This window comes from Homo sapiens, chromosome 1 (assembly GCF_000001405.40).
Source record: "Homo sapiens chromosome 1, GRCh38.p14 Primary Assembly".
In the NCBI taxonomy this organism is placed as follows: domain Eukaryota; kingdom Metazoa; phylum Chordata; class Mammalia; order Primates; family Hominidae; genus Homo; species Homo sapiens.
In genome coordinates, this window is record NC_000001.11 from 242,106,266 (window position 1) to 242,126,264 (window position 19,999).

The 19,999-nt window shown below is 40.5% G+C and overlaps 1 protein-coding gene across 14 annotated transcripts in view; it reads right to left on the reverse strand.

Annotated features, from left to right (window-relative positions):
• Positions 1–19,999, reverse strand: part of PLD5 (phospholipase D family member 5) — a 447,561-nt gene that overhangs the window by 23,280 nt on the left and 404,282 nt on the right. For all 14 annotated transcript variants that reach the window (XM_011544115.3, XM_011544116.3, NM_001320272.2 and 11 more), the window contains 3 exons: positions 18,203–18,400; positions 7,625–7,761; positions 1,406–1,574 (listed from right to left, as the gene is read on the reverse strand). In XM_011544115.3, the coding sequence (XP_011542417.1) occupies positions 1,406–1,574; positions 7,625–7,761; positions 18,203–18,400 (504 nt within the window). The remainder of the gene's footprint in view (positions 1–1,405; positions 1,575–7,624; positions 7,762–18,202; positions 18,401–19,999) is intronic.

The following is a 19,999-nucleotide window of genomic DNA, read 5'->3' on the forward strand; positions in this document are numbered from 1 at the left end:
TTTTACATTGACAAACTATGATGTACCGCTTTCAGGCTTGATGTCCAGAAATGCACATCACTGGAAGACTCTGTGCAGTGACTGCATGAAACTTTGCATTTTCTCCCTTGTGGGAGGTGAGAATGAGGGTTCTCTATGAGGCAAGATGAGTGAAATGGATCCCGTGTACCAGGAACTTCAGACCATGATGATTCACAAACCTGTTCCTTTGTCACCCTGGAAACACAGCTGACTTTCTGACCATGGTCATAAGCCTCCCTGGCCATTAGGCATGGCCATGTGAAAGCTATCCAGGCAGTGGAATGAAGGCTAAAGGGATGTTCCCTACCTCCAGTCCCAATCCAAAATGCCTCTCACACAGCCCTCCAATTTCGCTCTTCTCCTGTCTGGCCTTGGGATATTCAGGGTCAGGGCGATCTTGGAAGCCATGTGTCAAAGTTAATTGCGGAGCCCTTGATACCCTGGGTCCCTAAATGCTGCAAGGAATGCAGCTTCGTTACCTAGAAGAGAGCCTGCCACAGGCCAGATTCTGTTGAATGGCTGCATGGGGGTTGAGAAAAGCTGAGGCCTAAAGGATCAGTGGTTATGAGGTGGGTAAACATGGAGAAGAAGAGTGTTGTAGGCAGAGGGAATAGCTTGCACCAAGTCTGGGGTGGAGGAAGAGGGCGACGAGGACTGGAGTAGAGTCAAACATGACCTAGAGAATTAACACATTTCAGGTATTGCTAATTCCCAATCTTACCTCCCTCAAGGTCTCCAGAGGGGGATTAGTACGTGGCCCAAGGGACCTGGGGCAAGCATGGGGACCCAGACGACGAGGCATCTGGGCGGGGGGTCTGTGTGCTGCTGCATGCTCCAGTGCTCTGTTGGTCACAGTCTTAGAAATAGGAGCAGTAGGTGAATGGGGTCGTTCAAGGAAGATGGAGAGGGCCGGGTGCGGTGGCTCATGTTGGTAGTCCCAGCACTTTGGAAGGCCAAGGTGGGCAGATTGCTTGAGCCCAGGAGCTCAGGACCAGCCTGGGCAACATGGTGAAGCCCCATCTCTACAAAAAATGCAAAATTAGCTGAGCCTGGGAGTCAAGGCTGCAGTGAGCCGGGATTGTGCTACTGCACTCCAGCCTGGGTGACAGAGCAAAACCCTATCTCAAGAAAAAAAAGAAAAAAGAAAATGGAAAGGATGCAACAGAAAGTGAGAAGAGGGCTGGACGGAGGAGGCATCAGGAAACATGAGCTCTACTCTTTTTTTCGTATGTGATTGTTTTGAAAAAATTACTTAACGTGCTTTTTGAAGATTGCCGTCCTGGTTCTTACTGGAACTTTACACATAGGCGTATGCTTGCAGCTTTCACACACATGCAGAGGGCATTCACTTTTTATTTAATAACACAGTCAACGTAATACTTACAACTTTCAAACTGCAGTTGGCTATTTCAGTGCAAATCGCTTTAAGAGATGAAATAAAGTTAAACGTAAGGGGATCAGTTTCCTTCCAGAAGCTTAAAAGGAGTCGAACTCTAACGCTTCGTAAAACTAATGCTTCTCTTATTTTTGCATCCAAGTCTGGCCAGTAAGTCCTGCAGAAATCATATCCAAATAGAAAAAATAAACTAAGTTAGTTTGGGAAAAGAAATTTACTAGACAGCATAGAACATTGATATTACTCAGATCATTACTTTATCCTGTAATATATATAAGCAACCTCATCGGAGAGGCTGAAAAACATACAAGCATCTTAGCTTAGGCACCAAGAAATGATGATTTGCTGGGACCTGCCCCTGCCTAAAAGGAGGTTTCCTACCACCAGGTCCTTGGGCTGTGTGGGCTGGGGTGAGGACAGGCTGACTGCCTCCACAGGCCACCCTTACTACATCTCTGACGCTACCTGGGCCTCAGTCCACTAAGAACTGATTATCCAATCGAATTCCAGTTAGGAACCCTGAGCACCCCCTCAGTCCCCAAATGCCACTAAAACCTCTCTTTGGTGATTGTCCCCGAAATGAACTTACGCTCTGGTCATCTGAGCTTCCCCACACTTCCTTTTCCCGACTGTCTTACCGTGGTGTCTCCTTACCAAGCCTCCCATGTCTCCCCTGCCTTCCACGTTTTCTGCAGGGTCTTTGGAATCTTCCAACAGGCAAAGTTTCCCCAACAGGCTTGGCCTTTTCTCTGAATCCTTAAGCCTTTGCCTTAACTTGATCCTGATTTCTTCCCTGAGGCCACAGCTTCTCCTGGATTTCTGCGTGCATTTTCTACCATGACCTGGCCACTTGGCTTATGATGTGGGGCAGACTCCCACTCTGCCTCTGCCGGCCCCCAACACACACTGTCACTTCCAGCACTGTCATTTAATTCTTATGTTAAAACAAAAAGCTTTCCTGTCTTAAGGACCAAGCCTTAAATCACTCTCCCTCCCCTCGGCCCTGACATTTGTAGACCTTTTGTTTACTCATCAAACTCTTGCCCTAATTCTGGGCCAATTCAGTATTTGAACTAATGATACATTATTTGAAACTGTAGCCTGCCAGTGTCATGATCATTGCACCTCTAAAGGCCTCCTGTCCTTATTCCCCACTCTCTTAATTGCTTTTTCATCACATGCAGGCTGCAGATTCATGATGCCTTCAATCTGCCCGGTCCATCAGCTCCTCCTGTCTCCCTTGCCTGCCCAGCCTCATCTCAGTTCTGATCACTTGAAAGATACTTGCCTCTGTACCTTCCTCTTGCTCTTGGCAAAAATCTAGATCCTGGATCCACGCTACAGTTTTCTTTGTCTGGTTTTATACCCATGAAGCTGAGGACTACAGGAAAGATCATCTCAGCCTTGTGCTCAAAATTGGTTTCTCTGCCTCCAGTCATGTACTTCATCGATGACCACCGCAGTGATCCATCTAAAGCAGACCTGGTGATGCTACTTCTTGAATTAAAACAGTGGGGCCGGCACGGTGGCTCACACCTGTCATTCCAGCACTTTGGAAGGCCAAGGCGGTGGATCACTTGAGGTCGGGAGTTTGAGACCAGCCTGGCCAACATGGTGAAACCCCGTCTCTAATAAAAATACAAAAATTAGCTGGACATGGTGGCATGCACCTGTAATCCCAGCTACTCGGGAGGCTGAGGCAGGAGAATCACTTGAACCCAGGAGGTGGAGGTTGCAGTGAGCCAAGATTGTGCCACTGCACTCCAGCCTGGGTGACAGAGCAAGACTCCATCTCAAAACAAAACAAAAAAATGCCACCCCCCACAAAAATCCATAAAGTGGAAGCTCCACAAAGTCACAAGACTCCCCCAGTGGTCAGGATCTCTGGTTCCTGGCCCTTGCCCCCTCTCCAGTTAGATCTCTCACCACCTTACCTTGAGCTCTTTTTCTCTACATGTGAAACTTGGCTCATGCTGTCCCTTCCACTGGGAAAATTTTTCACCCTTTTCTGACAAATTCCTCATTATTTTTTTTCAAGAAATTTTTGTGGGGAAACTGAATATTTTGAATTATAAGTCAGTGAGCATCTCCTCCAATGGGCTTCTTCTAACCCTGAAGCTGTGCCGCGGGGCTCTTTCACCTAGTGTCTGTAATATTCTGCACTCAGGAGGCTGAGGCAGGAACGGTGATCATTGCACCTCTAAAGGTGATATTCATCATGATTAAAGCATGAACAGCATACCATCTCAACCTCCATCTAACAAGACAGGAAGGAGACTATTAGAACACAGAGGTGTGAGTGGTACAATGAATGTACCTGAGGCTGAGGCAGGAGAATCACATTATATTATTATATTATTATATATAATATAGATATTATATTACTATATTATATATTATTATTATTATATTATTATATTATCATAAAGGCCATTAGAGACCTTTAGAGGTGCAATGATCATGACACTGGCAGGCTACAGTTTCAAATAGTGTATCATTAGTTCCAATACTGAACTGGCCCAGAATTAGGGCAAGAGTTTGATGAGTGAACAAAAGGTCTACAAATGTCAGGGCCAAGGGGAGGAAGAGTGATTTAAGGCTTGGTCCTTAAGACAGGAAAGCTTTTTGTTTTAACATAAGAATTAAATGACATTAATTCTCATTAAATGTACCTCAGGTACATTCAAGTGATTCTCCTGCCTCAGCCTCAGGTGCATTCATTGTACCATTCACACCTCTGTGTTCTAATAGTCTCCTTCCTGTCCTGTTAGATGGAGGTTGAGATCATATGCTGTTCATGCTTTAATCACTGGTACACAGTGCTCAATAAATATTTGTTGACTGAAGCCAGGCGCGGTGGCTCATACCTGTAATCCTAGTACTTTGGGAGGCTGAGGTGGGTGGATCACCTAAGGTCAGGAGTTCGAGACCAGCCTGGCCAACATGGTGAAACCCCATCTCTACTAAAAATACAAAAATTAGCTCTGTGTGGTGGCATGTGCCTGCAGGCCCAGATACTCAGGAGGCTGAGGCAGGAGAATGACCTGAACCTGGGAGGCAGAGGTTGCAGTGAGCCGAGATCTTGCCATGGCACTCAGCCTGGGCGACAAGAGCAAAACTCTGTCTCACACACACACACACACACACCAATGGTTGAATGAATACATAAATAAAAAGCATTAACACTTCAAAGGCTAATCAGGCTACATTTTTATTATTCCTTTACACATTTACTAATTTCCTTGTGAAAGATATATTTTATGTGACTGAAGAAATAAATAATGAACAACCCCAAACTGAGACCTAAATAATTGACTTGCTTAAGAAAGAGAGCTTGATTGCTAAATCAGGAAGAAGTGAAATAGGGCTTCTGAATTTTTTTTTTTTTTTTTAAACGGAGTTTCACTCTTGTTGCCCAGGCTGGCGTGCAATGGCGTGATCTTGGCTCACTGCAACCTTGGCTGTCGAGGTTCAAGCGATTCTCCTGTCTCAGCCTCCCGAGTAGCTGGGATTATAGGTGTCTGCCACCATGCCCAGCTAATTTTTGTACTTTTAGTAGAGATGGGTTTTCACCATGTTGGCCAGGCTGGTGTTGAACTCCTGACCTCAGGTGATCGGCCCACCTCGGCCTCCCAAAGTGCTGGGATTACAGACGTGAGCCACCGTGCCTGGCCGGCTTCTGAATTTTTCCTGTAGGATTTATTTAGTCACAGATCATTGTTCCATTCCCTTCCTACTACCTTGAAAACTAGAAGTTATTTCTAACACTATTGCTAAATAATAGTGTCTGTTTTTTTTTACACGCTGTTAATCATTTCTGATTTGGGAGTGTATGATTTTTTTTCTCTTTCATCTGGATGTTTGGCAATGTATAGACTAAAAGTTAAGTCTGAAAGATTAATTCCATTAACATACTGAAATTTGATAGTATTTACCTATTTATTAAAGTTGAATTCACTCCTGAAAAGCTTTTCTGGGACTAGATAAAGATGAGTAACCAGTCTGAATTTATACAAGTAATTAATTTATCTGATTGAGAAGAATTTAATTATAATCTTGATGCTTGGACGACTACTTATGTCTCTTTGATGACCTTTCAATTTAGAAAGTTAAAAGCATTTACAGGTTTAAAATTTTAAAAATACAATAAAAGAAGTTTCATTTAATAGCTGAAATGGTAGATTATAACCAAAATGCAAAATTTCAAGTGAGTCTCTGATTCTTTAACATTCATTTTGTTTTCTCTAGATTTTAGATTTCTAAAATATTTTAGATCCTCCGTGCTAATTATTTACCTCTTGACCAGGAAGAATCTCAATTTTGTTCATAGAACTTCATGGAACAAAGGTTTTGTCAATCCTGAGAAATCATTATGCCATCCTAACATATAACTCCCTGAACTTGACCTTACTCTCCTTCTCAATAACAGGAAAATCAGGCAAAACCCCTATTACGTTTTGAAACGTTCCCAAAGTAGAGGTAAAATCTAAAACCAAATCTAAAACCAAGTGAACAACAAAGGGAGGAAAAATAAAAAGGAGGGATAGAAAAGGTGTGGAAGTGTGCGGTGAAAAAAATCCATGAATGTCCAAAGGATGCACTGTGTGTGTGTGTGTGTGTGTGTGTGTGTGTGTGTGTGTGTATGTATGTATATGTGTATATATATATATAGATGGAGTCTCACTCTGTTGCCCAGGCTGGAGTACAGTGGTGTGATCTTGGCTCACTGCAACCTCTACCTCCTGGGCTCAGGCGATTCTCCTGCCTCAGCCACCTGAGTAGCTGGGATTACAGGCGTGCGCCACCACACCCAGCTAATTTTTGTAAAGATGCACAATATTTTAAAATAAAAGTATTTCAATAATATGAATCTTGCAGCTAAAAGTGCTTTTCTACTAGCTGTTATAAGAAATGATCATTTTCTGGGGGAAGGACTCTTTTTGTAATCCTATGGTTATTTGCGTAAAGAAGCTACCTACTATGCATTATGTAGGGTTGGTGATGTAAGAATTATTCAAGCAATAAAGGGCACACTTAATCATTTAGCCTCAGTAAATGCTTATTTTGAAACTGTAATATTCCAAATTAAAAAGGCCTGGGGTTGCACTCCCCAAAATATGCACTTTGAAAACATTTCCTGGATCAAACTAATTATTCAAGCACCTCTGCATTCCCAGCACGAAAGCAAAAGTGGGAATACCTAAGCATGGCCACGCATTTATGCATGCAATGATTTCCCAAAGAGTTTGTCATAAATTCCATCCCTGAATTTATTCCGTGTTTGCATGCTTAAGCAATGATGAATTATTGAAAAGCACTGCATTTTTAAACTGTTCTCTTTTCACAGAGAGGGATGGATTGACTGAGAACATAGATATTTGAAGTTTCTTTCTCTCTCTCTCTTTTTTTTTTTTTTTTTTTTTTTGAGATGGATTCTTGCTCTGTCGCCCAGGCTGGAGTGCAGTGGCGTGATCTTGGCTCACTGCAAACTCCGCCTCCCAGGTTGATGCCATTCTCCCGCCTCAGCCTCCCGAGTAGCTGGGACTACAGGCACCCGCCACCACACCTGGCTAATTTTGTTTTTGTATTTTTAGTGGAGACGGGGTTTCACCATGTTAGCCAGGATGGTCTCGATCTCCTGACCTCGTGATCCGCCCGCCTCGGCCTCCCAAAGTGCTGGGATTACAGGCGTGAGCCACCGCACATGGCCTCTTTCTCCTTTACACTGAGAAGATATTATGAGAATTTGGCATTAAATGAAGACTGCTGTGAATATAAAACAACAATGCTTCCTTTAAGGAAAGTCTGGCAAGACTACTCTGTTTCAATATGCCCTTTTCAGGTATATACTTGTTAATAATTTTCAAATGATAATTTTTTTCATATAATATTTTATCTTTTATCCTTTCAAATAATTTTCAAGTTGAGAGCAACCTAATTTTCTTTTGAAAGTTACTCTCATTTCCATAATGTAAACTACTGAGGTACTTCTGTAGGGTGAGACCATGAGCCTTCAAAATGGACCCACTTTGGGAAAAGCTCCGTAATGAGTAAATTGCCAATGCATGTTAAACAGCAATGAATGGTGTGCTCTTCCTAAGGCAACCTGATGGCATCTCCATTTCCAGGCTGGCTTCTCCTGTGGTGCCCAGTTTAGTGCCTGGTCTTAGGGACTGGGTTCTAACCAGAGGCTGGGCATTCACTGACCTTTTGGTGCTTGTGCTGGAGATAGGCAGGTAGTCCATGACAGCGATGTACACATACTGCTTGGCATCATCTATCACACTGTAGATGGCATCTATGTCAAAACTTCTGTTTTTAGGGCAAAAGAGTTTTGGAGAATTCTGTGAAGACACAAAAGCCAAACTTTTAGCGTACTAATTTTTGGCAGCTGGGGATTTATTTATTTCCTTTGTTTCCACGGACCTTGGCTTGTAACTATATTTTTGCAAACCTAATTTCTGCTTCATCAAATTAGACAAAGATATTTTCAATCTTATCAAAGTTGAATAAAGATCAAAGTGTGGTAGGATGGGTCTCAAGTCTGTTTTGGAAAGAATTCTTTTATTATCTGACACATTTTGATTTTCAATTTTTATGTATTAAAAAATTTAATTGATACATAATTGTATATATTTATGGGGCACATAGTGATGTGATTCATATAATGTATAGTGATGAGATTATGGTAATTAGCATATCTATCATCTCAAACTTTATCATTTCTTTGTATTGGAAACATTCAATATCTTCCTTCTAACTATTTGAAACTATCTAATATATTATTGTTAAGTATAGTCATAGTTAACTACGGTCCTATAGAACAAGGGTCCCTATTCCCCAGGCCAGGGACCAGTACTGGGCTGCAGAGCAGGTGAATGACAGGCAAGCAAAGCTTCATCTGTATTTACAGCCGCTCCCCCTTGCTCGCGTCACCGCCTGAGCTCCGCCTCCTGTCAGACGAGTGGGGGCATTAGATTCTCATAGGGGCGTGAGCCCTACTGTGAACTGCGCATGTAAGGGATCTAGGTTGTGTGATCGCCTTATGAGATTGTAATGCCTGATGATCTGTCACTGTCTCCCATCAGCCCCAGATGAGACCATCTAGTTGCACAAAAAGAAGCTCAGGGCTGTCACTAATTCAACAATACAGTGAGTTGTATAGTTATTTCATTATATATTACAATGTAATAATAATAGAAATAAAGTGACAGCCACGGATGGTAGCCCAAGCCTGTAATCCCAGCGCTTTGGGAGGCTGAGGTGGCCGGATCACCTGAGGTCAGGAGTTCAAGATCAGCCTGGCCAACATGGTGAAACCCCGTCTCTACTAAAAATACAAAAAATTAGCCAGGCGTGGTGGTGTGCACCTGTAATCCCAGCTACTCGGGAGGCTGAGGCAGGAGAATCGCTTGAACCCGGGAGGCAGAGGTTGCAGTGAGCCGAGATTGCATCACTGCACTCCAGCCTGGGTGACAGAGCAAGATGCTGTCTGAAAAGAAAAAAGAAAAAAAAGAAAAAAGAAAGTGCACAATAAATGTGATGCCCTTCAATCATCCTGAAAGCATCCCTGCTGACCCTGGTCCATGGAAAAACTGTCTTCCATGAAACCAGTCCATGGTGCCAAAAAGGTTGAGGACCACTGCTATAGAACAATGGAACTTATTCTTCCTATCTTGCTGTTATTTTTATATCCACTAACAAATCTTTCCCCACCCCCTCTTTCCCCAGCCTCTAGTATCTTCTGTTTTACTTTTTACTTAGGAGAGAATTCTTGCTTTCAGTGTACACACTTCTTTTCGGAGGAGCACTCCACCTCCAACCTTACACAATTCTGTCATACATAGCTAATAATTTTCTCAGGTGTTACTACACACGCACACACACTGCACATAGCAAGCCATTTACTCCAGCATTTTCATTTCATCTGAAATGTGATGATGTGGGCATAAAAATGTTTCAAACTCAAAATCTAAAAAAAAAAAAATCTTGGAGTTTTTTTCTTTTCTCCAAAATCTTTCATTGAGTTAGGAGAAGTGTTGATTGTTGAGAAAAGGTCATCGATAACAGTGAAGGAATATCTGAGGGAGCTATTAAGATGCCGAAATTCAGCAGGAGAGCCAGAGAAGAAGGATGTTCTGAAAGATTTAAGCAAAATGAAAAAAAGAGGCAAATTCTGCTTGAGGCATTTTTCTCCTGTTGCTTGAGGTGGTTTTCATCTTATAAAAATATGGTGTTTGTAGATGGAGTTGCTGTAGAAAGGGAAAGATGTGTTTGGTTTTCTCATTATTTTTCCACTGGACAGGACTGAAAATAGTGTTTCCCACAGTTGCTGTTTTACTTTGACAAGCGATACGCTGTGACAAGTATCACATAAATAATGCCAGGGCATTATAATGGGACATAAATAATGCCAGGATGTTTAGGACCAAAAGGCTGAATAAACAGATTTTTGGAACTGCCTGGAATGAATGGTAGTATTGGGCGGTCAGAGTTCCTCCTCACCAATTATGTCTGGAACAACTCCCTACACTGCACAGTAGGAGTCCCCACCCCAGCTTAGAGGTTTGTGAGATGGAGCTGTTGGACTGGACGCCCACCTTAGAAGGGGCATAGGGGCATAGGGATAAGGAAGGAGCATGCTGAGGATCACACACCTTCCAGGTTTCCTCACACAGAAAGTCCTCTTGGCAGGTGATCATGAGCAAGATGAGTCGGTTTTTTAAAAAAGAATTTCAACTTTTATTTTAGACTCAGGGGGTACAGGTGCAGGTTTGTTACATGGATATATATTATGTGATGCTGAGGTTTGAGGCACAACTGATCCCGTCACCCAGGTAGTGAGAATAGTACTCAATAGTTTATCCACCCATGTCCCCTTCCTTCCCCACATGCGCTAGTGGTCCTCAGTGTTTAGTGTTGCCATCTCTATGTCCATGAGTAACCAATGTTTACCTCCCACTTATAAGTGAGAACATGGTATTTGGTTTTCTGTTCCTGCAGTGATTTCCTTAGAATAATGGCCCCTAGCTGCACCCACATTGCTGCAAAAGACATGATTTTATTCTCGTTTATGGTTGCATAGTATTCCATGGTGCATATGTACCATATTTTCTTTACAGGATGAGTTTTTGATCATTTATTTTTTTCTTTTGGAATGAGGATGAACTTCAAGTCTGTTTTTTAAAGGTAGTCCTACACTCCTCTGTCATCAGCACACAGATATACAGATACTCCATCTGTCACCAAGATAGAAAGCGTGTGCCTCTGCAGGGTTTCCTGGGTCTGTCCCTCCTCTTACTCTTGATCACTCAGTAAGTTTCCCTCACTTGGGCACTAGTGCTGCTTTCAGGGATGTTCTAACATCTTTCTAACTCATTGCCTTATCTCTGAGATGTTTAAAAACAAATATACATCACTCCCAGGATGAACTGACTCCTGGTTTCTCAGAATCCAGCTTGAACTAATTGGGAGGGGTGTATCCATGGTCCTGTGTCTCTGCCTCCTTCATTTGCCAACTCCCATCCTGTCTGTGACCCCAAATGCAAGTAATTACCAGTCCACGGCTGTGCCCTCATCATGTCTGACTCTGGGCATCTCTGCTCATGCCGGCTTCTCTGGCTCATGTGTCTTTATTTTTGTCTATCAAAGTCCTACTAATTCTGTTCTCTGAATTCCAGCTCAAATGTGATCTCCTCCATGAATTTTTTTTTTTTTTAGATGGAGTCTTGCTCTGTTGCCCAGGCTGGACTGCAGTGGTGCAATCTCAGCTCACTGCAACCTCCACCTCCCAGATTCAAGTGATTCTCCTGCCTCAGCCTCCTGAGTAGCTGGGATTATAGGTGCCCGCCACTACACCTGGCTAATTTTTGTATTTTAGTAGAGACGGGGTTTCACCATCTTGGCCAGGCTGGTCTTGAACACCTGACCTCATGATCCACCTGCCTCGGCCTCCCAAAGTGCTGGGATTACAGGTATGAGCTACCACGCCTGGCAATGAAGTTGTTTTTAAATCTCCAATCAAAGGTTGCTTTTCCCAACCCTGTACTCCCATACTATTTATTTCTTTTGCTTTTTTCTTTTTTTACCATCATAACCATTTTTAAGTGTACAGTTCAGTGGATTTTAGGGATTGTATGTTACTCATTTTCCTATGCCATTAAAAATATTCAAATTATTTAATTCCCTTAGCATGTTGGCTCTGCTTTAAAGGTTCTTTGGTTAATGTGGAGAAGCTGAAGATCTTTGCTCCAGATGGGTTCTCAGAAGCCTGACTCTGAAATGTGTCCAAATGCTCACATTTGTTTCAGTTAGGAACTCCCTGAATTTCACTGCTTTTTCCAAAACCAGATTTTGGTTTTGGGGAGGAACAAATGTAGGCAGAGTTATCTGTGGTCTCTTTACATTTGCTGTTATCTTACAAGTATAGACACTGTGGCCATAATTTAGAGGAAAGAGCATGGGCTTTGGTGATACAGGCCAGACTCCAGCACTTAGAACCTGGGGCATCTTGGTGTGTCCCTTACACTTTTTGAGCCTCTGTTTCCTAATGGGGTTAATGAAAATAACACACCTTTCATACTGGTTTGCCTTGAAGCTCAAATAAATGAATGGCCTGTTTGCTGGCTGGGTTCCATGCCCCTCTTCTGTGCGTGCTTTCATTCAATCAGCAAATATTCCTAGGCTCTGGTCTAGGAAGGGGACATACATCAGTGACCAAGACAAGATCCCTTCTTTGTGGAACTTCATTCTAGCGCATGTTACATGGCATTGCATTCATCTGTCTATGTGTTTAGCCACTTGCTTGTGAGCTGCCTGGTTGTGTATCTCTGGCATCTTGTGCCATGCACATATTATATGCTCAATACATACTTATGGAACGAATGTGAAAGTGCTTCATAAATGCATAAATGTTGGAGGTTTGTCTGTTGGAGTCTGTTGCTTCAATCTGGGTATTTCCAAACCTGTGTCAACAGATGTTTATAAGCACTGACCTGCCTTATTGCTTCCTGTGTTCCCACTGCCTGACACAATGGCAGGTGCTCCAGCTCCATGTGTTTATGAAGGAAATGCATAATTATTTGTATCAGTCCCCTTGCACCTGGGGGCTGAGTGGTACTTTGCTATGTGTTCTAGAGTCTTCTACCTTTAAAAATAGTGCCTGGATAGACTAGTGGCTGTAAAATGTCTGCCCAGAATAGAAATGAATAAACAATAACACAAAAGAATGAGCTGGCAGAGGAAGTTAACTAGTTCCAACTGTTTAATTAAAGAGAGGGCTAAGTTTCCCTCTCATCACTTCTGAATTAATTTTCCGAGCCTTGTGCTGTGTACTTCTTTGTTCCATAGTAAAGTAGAAGAAGAGGGAAAATACAGATCCTCTTCAATATTCCAGCTCTGTGGCAATCTTTTACCAGTCAAGAGCTCTTGAGGGACCTGACTTCTAGGTTAATCTGGGTTTGTCTCTTAGATCAGTAGGCACCATATGAATGTAATTTATTTTGCATACTCATTAAATAATCACCTTGTACAGACCTTAGCAGGTTTTTAATTATTTCATTAACAGTTTCATGGTTTTAAAAAAGTATATACTCTATTTGTAGAATATATATGTTCAAATATAATTAAATATGAAAAGACAACCCATGGAATGAAAGAAATAAAATATTGGAAAATCATATATTTAAACCAGACACCTGAACCCAGGAATTTTAGGCCAGCCCCAATAACATAGTAAGACCTTGTCTCTATAAAAAATCATATTTCTGTTTAAGGGACTTGTATACAGACTGTATAAAGAACTCTTACAACACAAATTTTTTAAATAACTTAATTTAAATGGGCAAAAGATTTCATATTTGATAGATATTTTGTGTCTCTTCTTTAAAGAAGAGATACAAATGGCCGATAAGCACGTTAGAAGATTTAAATCAAAACAAAAATAAGATTACATTTTATACCCTCTAGTAGAGCTAAAATAAGACAGAAAATAACAAGTGTTGCCGAGGATGTGGAGAAATAAAAACTCTCATATATTGCTGGTGGGATTGTAAAATGGTGCTGCCAATTTGGAAAACAGTTTGGTAGTTTCTCAAAATGTCCAACATAGAGTTACCACATTATCCAGTAAATCCACTCCTATGTATAAACTCGAATTAAAAACAGCTATTCACATAAAAACCTGTACATGAATATTTATAGCAGCACTATTTACAATAGCCAAGAAATAGTAGTAGTACAAATGCCCATCTGTTGACAGACGGGTAAACAAAGTGTGGAATATCCATACAATGGAATTATTTAACCATAAAAAGAATAAAGGCAGTATTGGTCCATGCTACAATATGGATAAACCTTGAAGGCATTATGTTAGGTGAAAGCAGCAATCACAAAAAACTACATAGTATATGATTCCATTTATATAAAATATCCAGAAAAAGGCAGATTCATAAAGAAAAAGTAGACTGCTGGTTGCCAGGGACTGAGAGAAGGGAAAATAGTGACGGCTAATCAGTATGGGGTTTTTTCTTTGTGGTGAAAAAAAGTTCTAAAATCAGATTGTAGAAATGGTTGCAAAACTGCGACTATACTCAACCCCACTAAATTGTATGCTTTATTTTTTATTTTTTATTTTTATTTTTTGTATTTTTAGTACAGACGGGGTTTCACCATGTTGGCAAGGTTGGTCTTGAGCTGCTGACCTCAAGTGATCAGCCAGCTTTGGCCTCTCAAAGTGCAGGGATTACAGGAGTGAGCCACCATGCCCAGCCTGAATTGTATACTTTAAAAGGGTAAATTTTATGGTGTGTAAATTACGTCTCTGTAAGGCTGTTAAACTAATTTACAATATACGCAGAAGGTTCTAAAGAGGAATGTGATGCAGGATTTTTCCATAGCAGCATCAAGTTCTATTTAATGTCAGCCCTCACTCACTAAATACATCTCCATATACATGGCTGACAGGTGACTTAACTGAACAATAAACAAGAAATGAAATCTGTCTAACATCTAGATCAATAAAAACAGACCTTGAACTAGTCTTTTATCTTGGAAAGCAATTGCTTAAGCTTAAAGGCTCCAAAAAGAAACCTACAAGACAGAAACAGCCAACTATTGTTCCCATCCTCCAATTTCAATGGGAAATGCAAGAAAATGAGAATTATCTGGCCCAAGTTACTAGAAATCACACAGTTAAATCTAAGTGCCTATTTGTGTTCCATGAAAAAACTGGAAATAATCCATATTTGTATCATAAGTTAAAATTTATATCTAACTATGCTAAGTTATCAATTATCTAAAATCTAACTTTGAGAATGGTTATTAAGGTCTTCAAATACTCTTTATGTATGTGTTCAACTTAGTCTTGAGACAATCAGCTTATAAAAATATACTATTTTAAGATACAACAAATATATTGAATTAAATTCATCTTGGCATTTGTCTGGCATATATTACTGAGAAAACTGTATGCATTCTGGAGCTTTCTATTAATATTACTACTAATAAAACCTATCCAACATTCATTGCTGCTTTTAGCTAGCACTAAGTGAAGTATTGGGAATACCAATGATGAAGAGGATATATTAATAGTAGGTGATCTTCAGAGTCTAATAAAATGGTGGGAAAGATGATTATAAATAAATAGTTATAAAAGTTATAATAGAAGGGAGTTCAAGGAACTCTGTCTGAATGATATCAATTCCAGTTGCAGGGTTTTCTGACTGTTTTTGTACCTGTAGGATTTTATACCTCTCCAGAAATGGTGTTCAATCAATATCTGTTGAATTGAAATTCAAAGGCAGGCTTGATATTATTAAAAAATAGAAAATAAAACAGGAAGTTAAAATAAGTAAATAAAAAAAGAAAGTAAACTAGAAATATCATTTGACCCAGCCGTCCCATTGCTGGGTATATACCCAAAGGATTATAAATCATGCTGCTATAAAGACACATGCACACATATGTTTATTGCGGCGCTATTCACAATAGCAAAGACTTGGAACCAACCCAAATGTCCATCAATGATAGACTGGATTAAGAAAATGTGACAGATATACACCACGGAATACTATGCAGCCATAAAAAAGGATGAGTTCACATCCTTTGTAGGGACATGGATGAAGCTGGAAACCATCATTCTCAGCAAACTATCGCAAGGACAGAAAACCAAACACCGCATGTTCTTACTCATAGGTGGGAACTGAACAATGAGAACACATGGACACAGGGAGGGGAACATCACACACCAGGGCCTGTCATGGGGTGGGGGGAGGGGGGAGGGATAGCATTAGGAGATACACCTAATGTAAATATGAGTTAGTGGGTGCAGCACACCAACATGGCACATGTATACATAGGTAACAAACCTGCACGTTGTGCACATGTATCCTAGAACTTAAAGTATAATTTAAACAAAAGAAAAGGTATTACACAGTTTAAAAAACTACCCAAAGAAATGTCTCACAGCTCTTTTTGTGGTGAACTCTTTAAGAAAAAGCCACTTATGAATTTGCCCTAGAAAATAACAAAGGTATCGAATTGTAGTAGATTTTACTAAAGGCCTGAGACCACTCTCTCTGGGAAATACATTAGCTTTAAAATCAACAAAAAACTGACTCTTTCCCTGTTTAAGGGTTAGTATGTAAATGTATGCAACAACCATATTCACTTATCTCCAAGGTTGAAACTGTAAATTCAAAATCCAGTGATTATTCAAAATTTGTTCATTAATTCATCTATTTTTTGCTATTTCCAATTTGTTTTTCTACTGGATCTGATCAAGCGATCCACGCTTGGCATGTAGTGTCACCCTGTGGCCCTCTGGATTAAAGGTTCCTTGGCAAATTTTCTATTGCTGCTCATCCACAAATTAGGAATACTCCTTGGCCTCCTGGTCTTATAGGGTCATCTTGAGATGAATTGAAAATGTCTATATAATTTATATTTATATTTATTCGTAAAATGCCCTATAATATGCTACTTGCTACTCCATTCTTGACCTCCTCCATACAAAAATGTTATTTTACCTCCAGCTGATGAACATCCTTCATAGTCTATTTTCTGCTCTTCACATTTATGTGAATTTGTTATTTAAGACAACTTGAACTTTGTGTTTTCTTTCTATTGTTACACTTCTAAATTTTCTGCTGGTGTTTTCCTTTGAACAGGCAAAAAGGATACAATTCACTTTATCTTCAACAAAATGCTGTTTAGTGACAAAAAAGTTGTTGGCATAAAAGCACCAATATCAACCAAGGTTGAAATAGCAATATTAAATTGGGAGCATTACTTAGAGAAGTTGATCTGAACATCAGGATAATTTCAGAAGCTTGCTTCAAATAAAAATTCTAAGATCTCATCTCAGATCCAGTGGATAAGATCCTGGGTGGGGACAGGGGACACTATAAATCTGCACTTTAAGCATACTTCGTAGCCAATTCTTAAGTACAGTAAGTCCTCACTTAATGACGCCGACAGGTTCTTGAATACTATGACTTTAAGCAAACTGATGTATGATGAAAACAATGGTACCATAGGCTAATTGATATAAAGGAGAGTTAAGTTGCTATGGCTTATTTCTGGTCCCAAAAACAGCATCAAACTTCTAAAGACCAAAACACTTTGAATATTAAACATTGAAACAAATGTGAGCTATACATACATTTAAGAAAGACTAATAAAAACAAGTAAAATAATTATTTACCCTCTTACTCCAGTTCAGGGTCACAGGTGGCCAGAGCCCCTCGCAGCCGGGACCCCTGTGGACAGGAGGACATCCCATCGCAGAGCACACTCACACACACATTCACACTCGCTTACACTGGGACCACTCACACACACATTCACACTCGCTCACACTGGGACCACACAGATCTGCCAGTTCATTCCACTTGCACAGCTCTGAGATGTGGGAGGAAACAGCAGTACCCGGCAAAAGCCAACACAGACAGGTGGAGAACGTGCAAACTCCACACACACGGTGGCCCCAGCCGAAAATCAATTGTTTTTTTTCTTATCAACATGATAATGAATGGGCATTGAACAAAACGATGTTATTGAAGGATCTACTGTACTACAGTTTGAGGACTAGGACTGTAGGCCCAGATATTTACATTGCCCCTTTCCAGTAACATCTCTGGATAGCTGTGGCATGTGCCTAGCTGGGTGGTGGACTGGGAAGGTGAGGGTGGGTGGAGGGTGTGGCTAATGGTTCTTAGCAGAGTCAGAGGCCCGAAGCTGTGCAAGGAGCACTGTCCTGTTGTGTGGGCCTCTTGCCTGCTTGCCCCAACCAGGTACAGCAGCTCTGCTTTTGTCTGATCTATACACTGAGATTCCCTCAGATTTGTCTCATCAAAGGGTTCTGATAAAAACAAGTCTGAAAAATCAATGTAGGGCATTGAAAACAGGCTAACAGGCTCTGGTGTCAGAAGAGCTGGGTGCTGGCTCCGCTCTTAGCATGTCCCATCGGATGGGCTTTTTGCTAGTAGGTAAGGTCGATACCTTCATTTGCAAAATGGACACAACCCCATACCTAGCTTACAGGGTGATTGAGGGAATCAAATCAGATAACTCAAGGTATCTGACACAAGGAATGATGATCAAGATTTATTATATTTGAGGGTATGATTGCGTGTAAGGGTGGACGCATTTTAACTCTTCACGTCATGGGATAGAACCACTGTAATTCATTTTTGCCCAATACAAGATCACACTTAAACATTCCAACTTAATAAAGAGCCTTTGGAGGAAGAAGGAGAAGGGGAGGAGAAAGGGAAAACAACTCACCGATACAAATGCTTGAGATTTGGTTTCATTCAACTGAAGTTGCAATTTCTTTTCATTGTCATAGACTCCATAGAGTCTTTTGGACCAGGTTTGAGGCACTCTGCTTTTGAATTTTAATGAACTATATAGAGCAAATATCCTTTGTAAATCTAGGACCAGGCAGCTGCAGTTGTAGAAGATGACACCGAGTTCTTTCATCTGTGAAATTAAAATTGAAAGCATCAATGCCATGTGTGTCTTTTGGTGTTATTTTCAGAGAAAAAAGGAATGCATAAGAATGAGGTAGTTGTGACATCTTTTTTCTTGCATTTGAAGTAAGTAGATATAGTTACATTATGGTACATAGAGGTGATATGTTATAAAAATGCTAAATATTTAAGTAAAATTTTGCTGGTTTTTTGTATTAGGTCTCTAATTTTCTTATAGTCATCTATAATTTCTTATATTCATCTATACTTTTCACATCAGCTCTTCAGATTTGTTTCCTTAACACTTTTTTTGTATGACTCATTCAATCAGGTGGCAAGAAAAAGGTCAATTTTACTTGCAACATAACCGAATGGCTGGAATCATGGATTCTGGCTGGAATCATGGATTCTGGAGTCAGACTGCCTGGATTGAGGTTCTGTTAATAGCTCCACAACTTTCTAGCTGTGTGACTTTGAACAACATACTTAATTTCTGGGCCTCAGCTTCTTCTTCCGTAAAATAGAGATAATAGTATTTATTTCATATGTTGCTATGATAATTGAAATGGTTAATACATATAAGAAGTGTCTATCACATGGTAATCACTAGCAGTATGTTAGTAATTATTATTCTTATTAACGTTACACAAGCCTTAAGAGTAATAGACCAATAGCATCTTAAAAGACCACAGAGATCATTTTGTCCACCTCTCTCAAGGCATGGATGAGGAAAGTAAAGCTCACACAAATAAGTAAAAATACTAGCCCCAAGTTAGAGATTTAGTCAGTGGTAAATTAAGAATTGAGTGCAGGTTTTCTGACCCCTAATCAAATACACTCAGGAACATAGCTATACTGGCTTCAGTTGAGTCCAGTATCCCTTTGCAAAAATTACAGATGATTTTTAATTTAGTCAATGAAACTATACAATGTGAAATTTTGGTCATTAAAGAACAGCACACAAAAATACATGCTTTCTATGACTTGAACACCCAGTGAGGGGTTATTAGGGAAACCTTGGCTCTCTAAAGACCCAGGGCCCATTGATAGTAAACTCCCTTTTTATCCCTTCCTTAAGCCCTTCCCCAAGACTCTTTACTCAGGATGATAGGAGAGGTCATCTACCATGTATGAACCTGTCTCTCTTTGCTCCCAGGACTCCCCAGTACAACATGGCCTGGAGATCTTTCCATGTTCCTCTGTACAGATCTGTCATCGATTTCCAGCTTCATGGTAACCACAGGATAGATGGACACAAGTTGTTTAACCCACTGATAGACTTCATTCCTATACTTTCCCTAATGCAAAAATAAAACAATGAGCATCCTGATATATCTTTGTGCGCCTTTAATATAGATTCCTAGAGTGAGATGTACAGACACATTAAGGACTATTAGCGGTTAAGTGAAAGGAGATAGAGCAGGTAGGGCATATCAGGCATGTGCAAAAGGACTGAGGCTAACCAAGGAGGTGAAAGATCTCTACAAAACACTGCTGAAAGAATAGATGACACAAACAAATGGGAACACATCCCATGCTCATGGATGGGTAGAATCAATATTGTGAAAATGACCATACTGCCAAAAGTAATCTACAAATTCAATGCAAT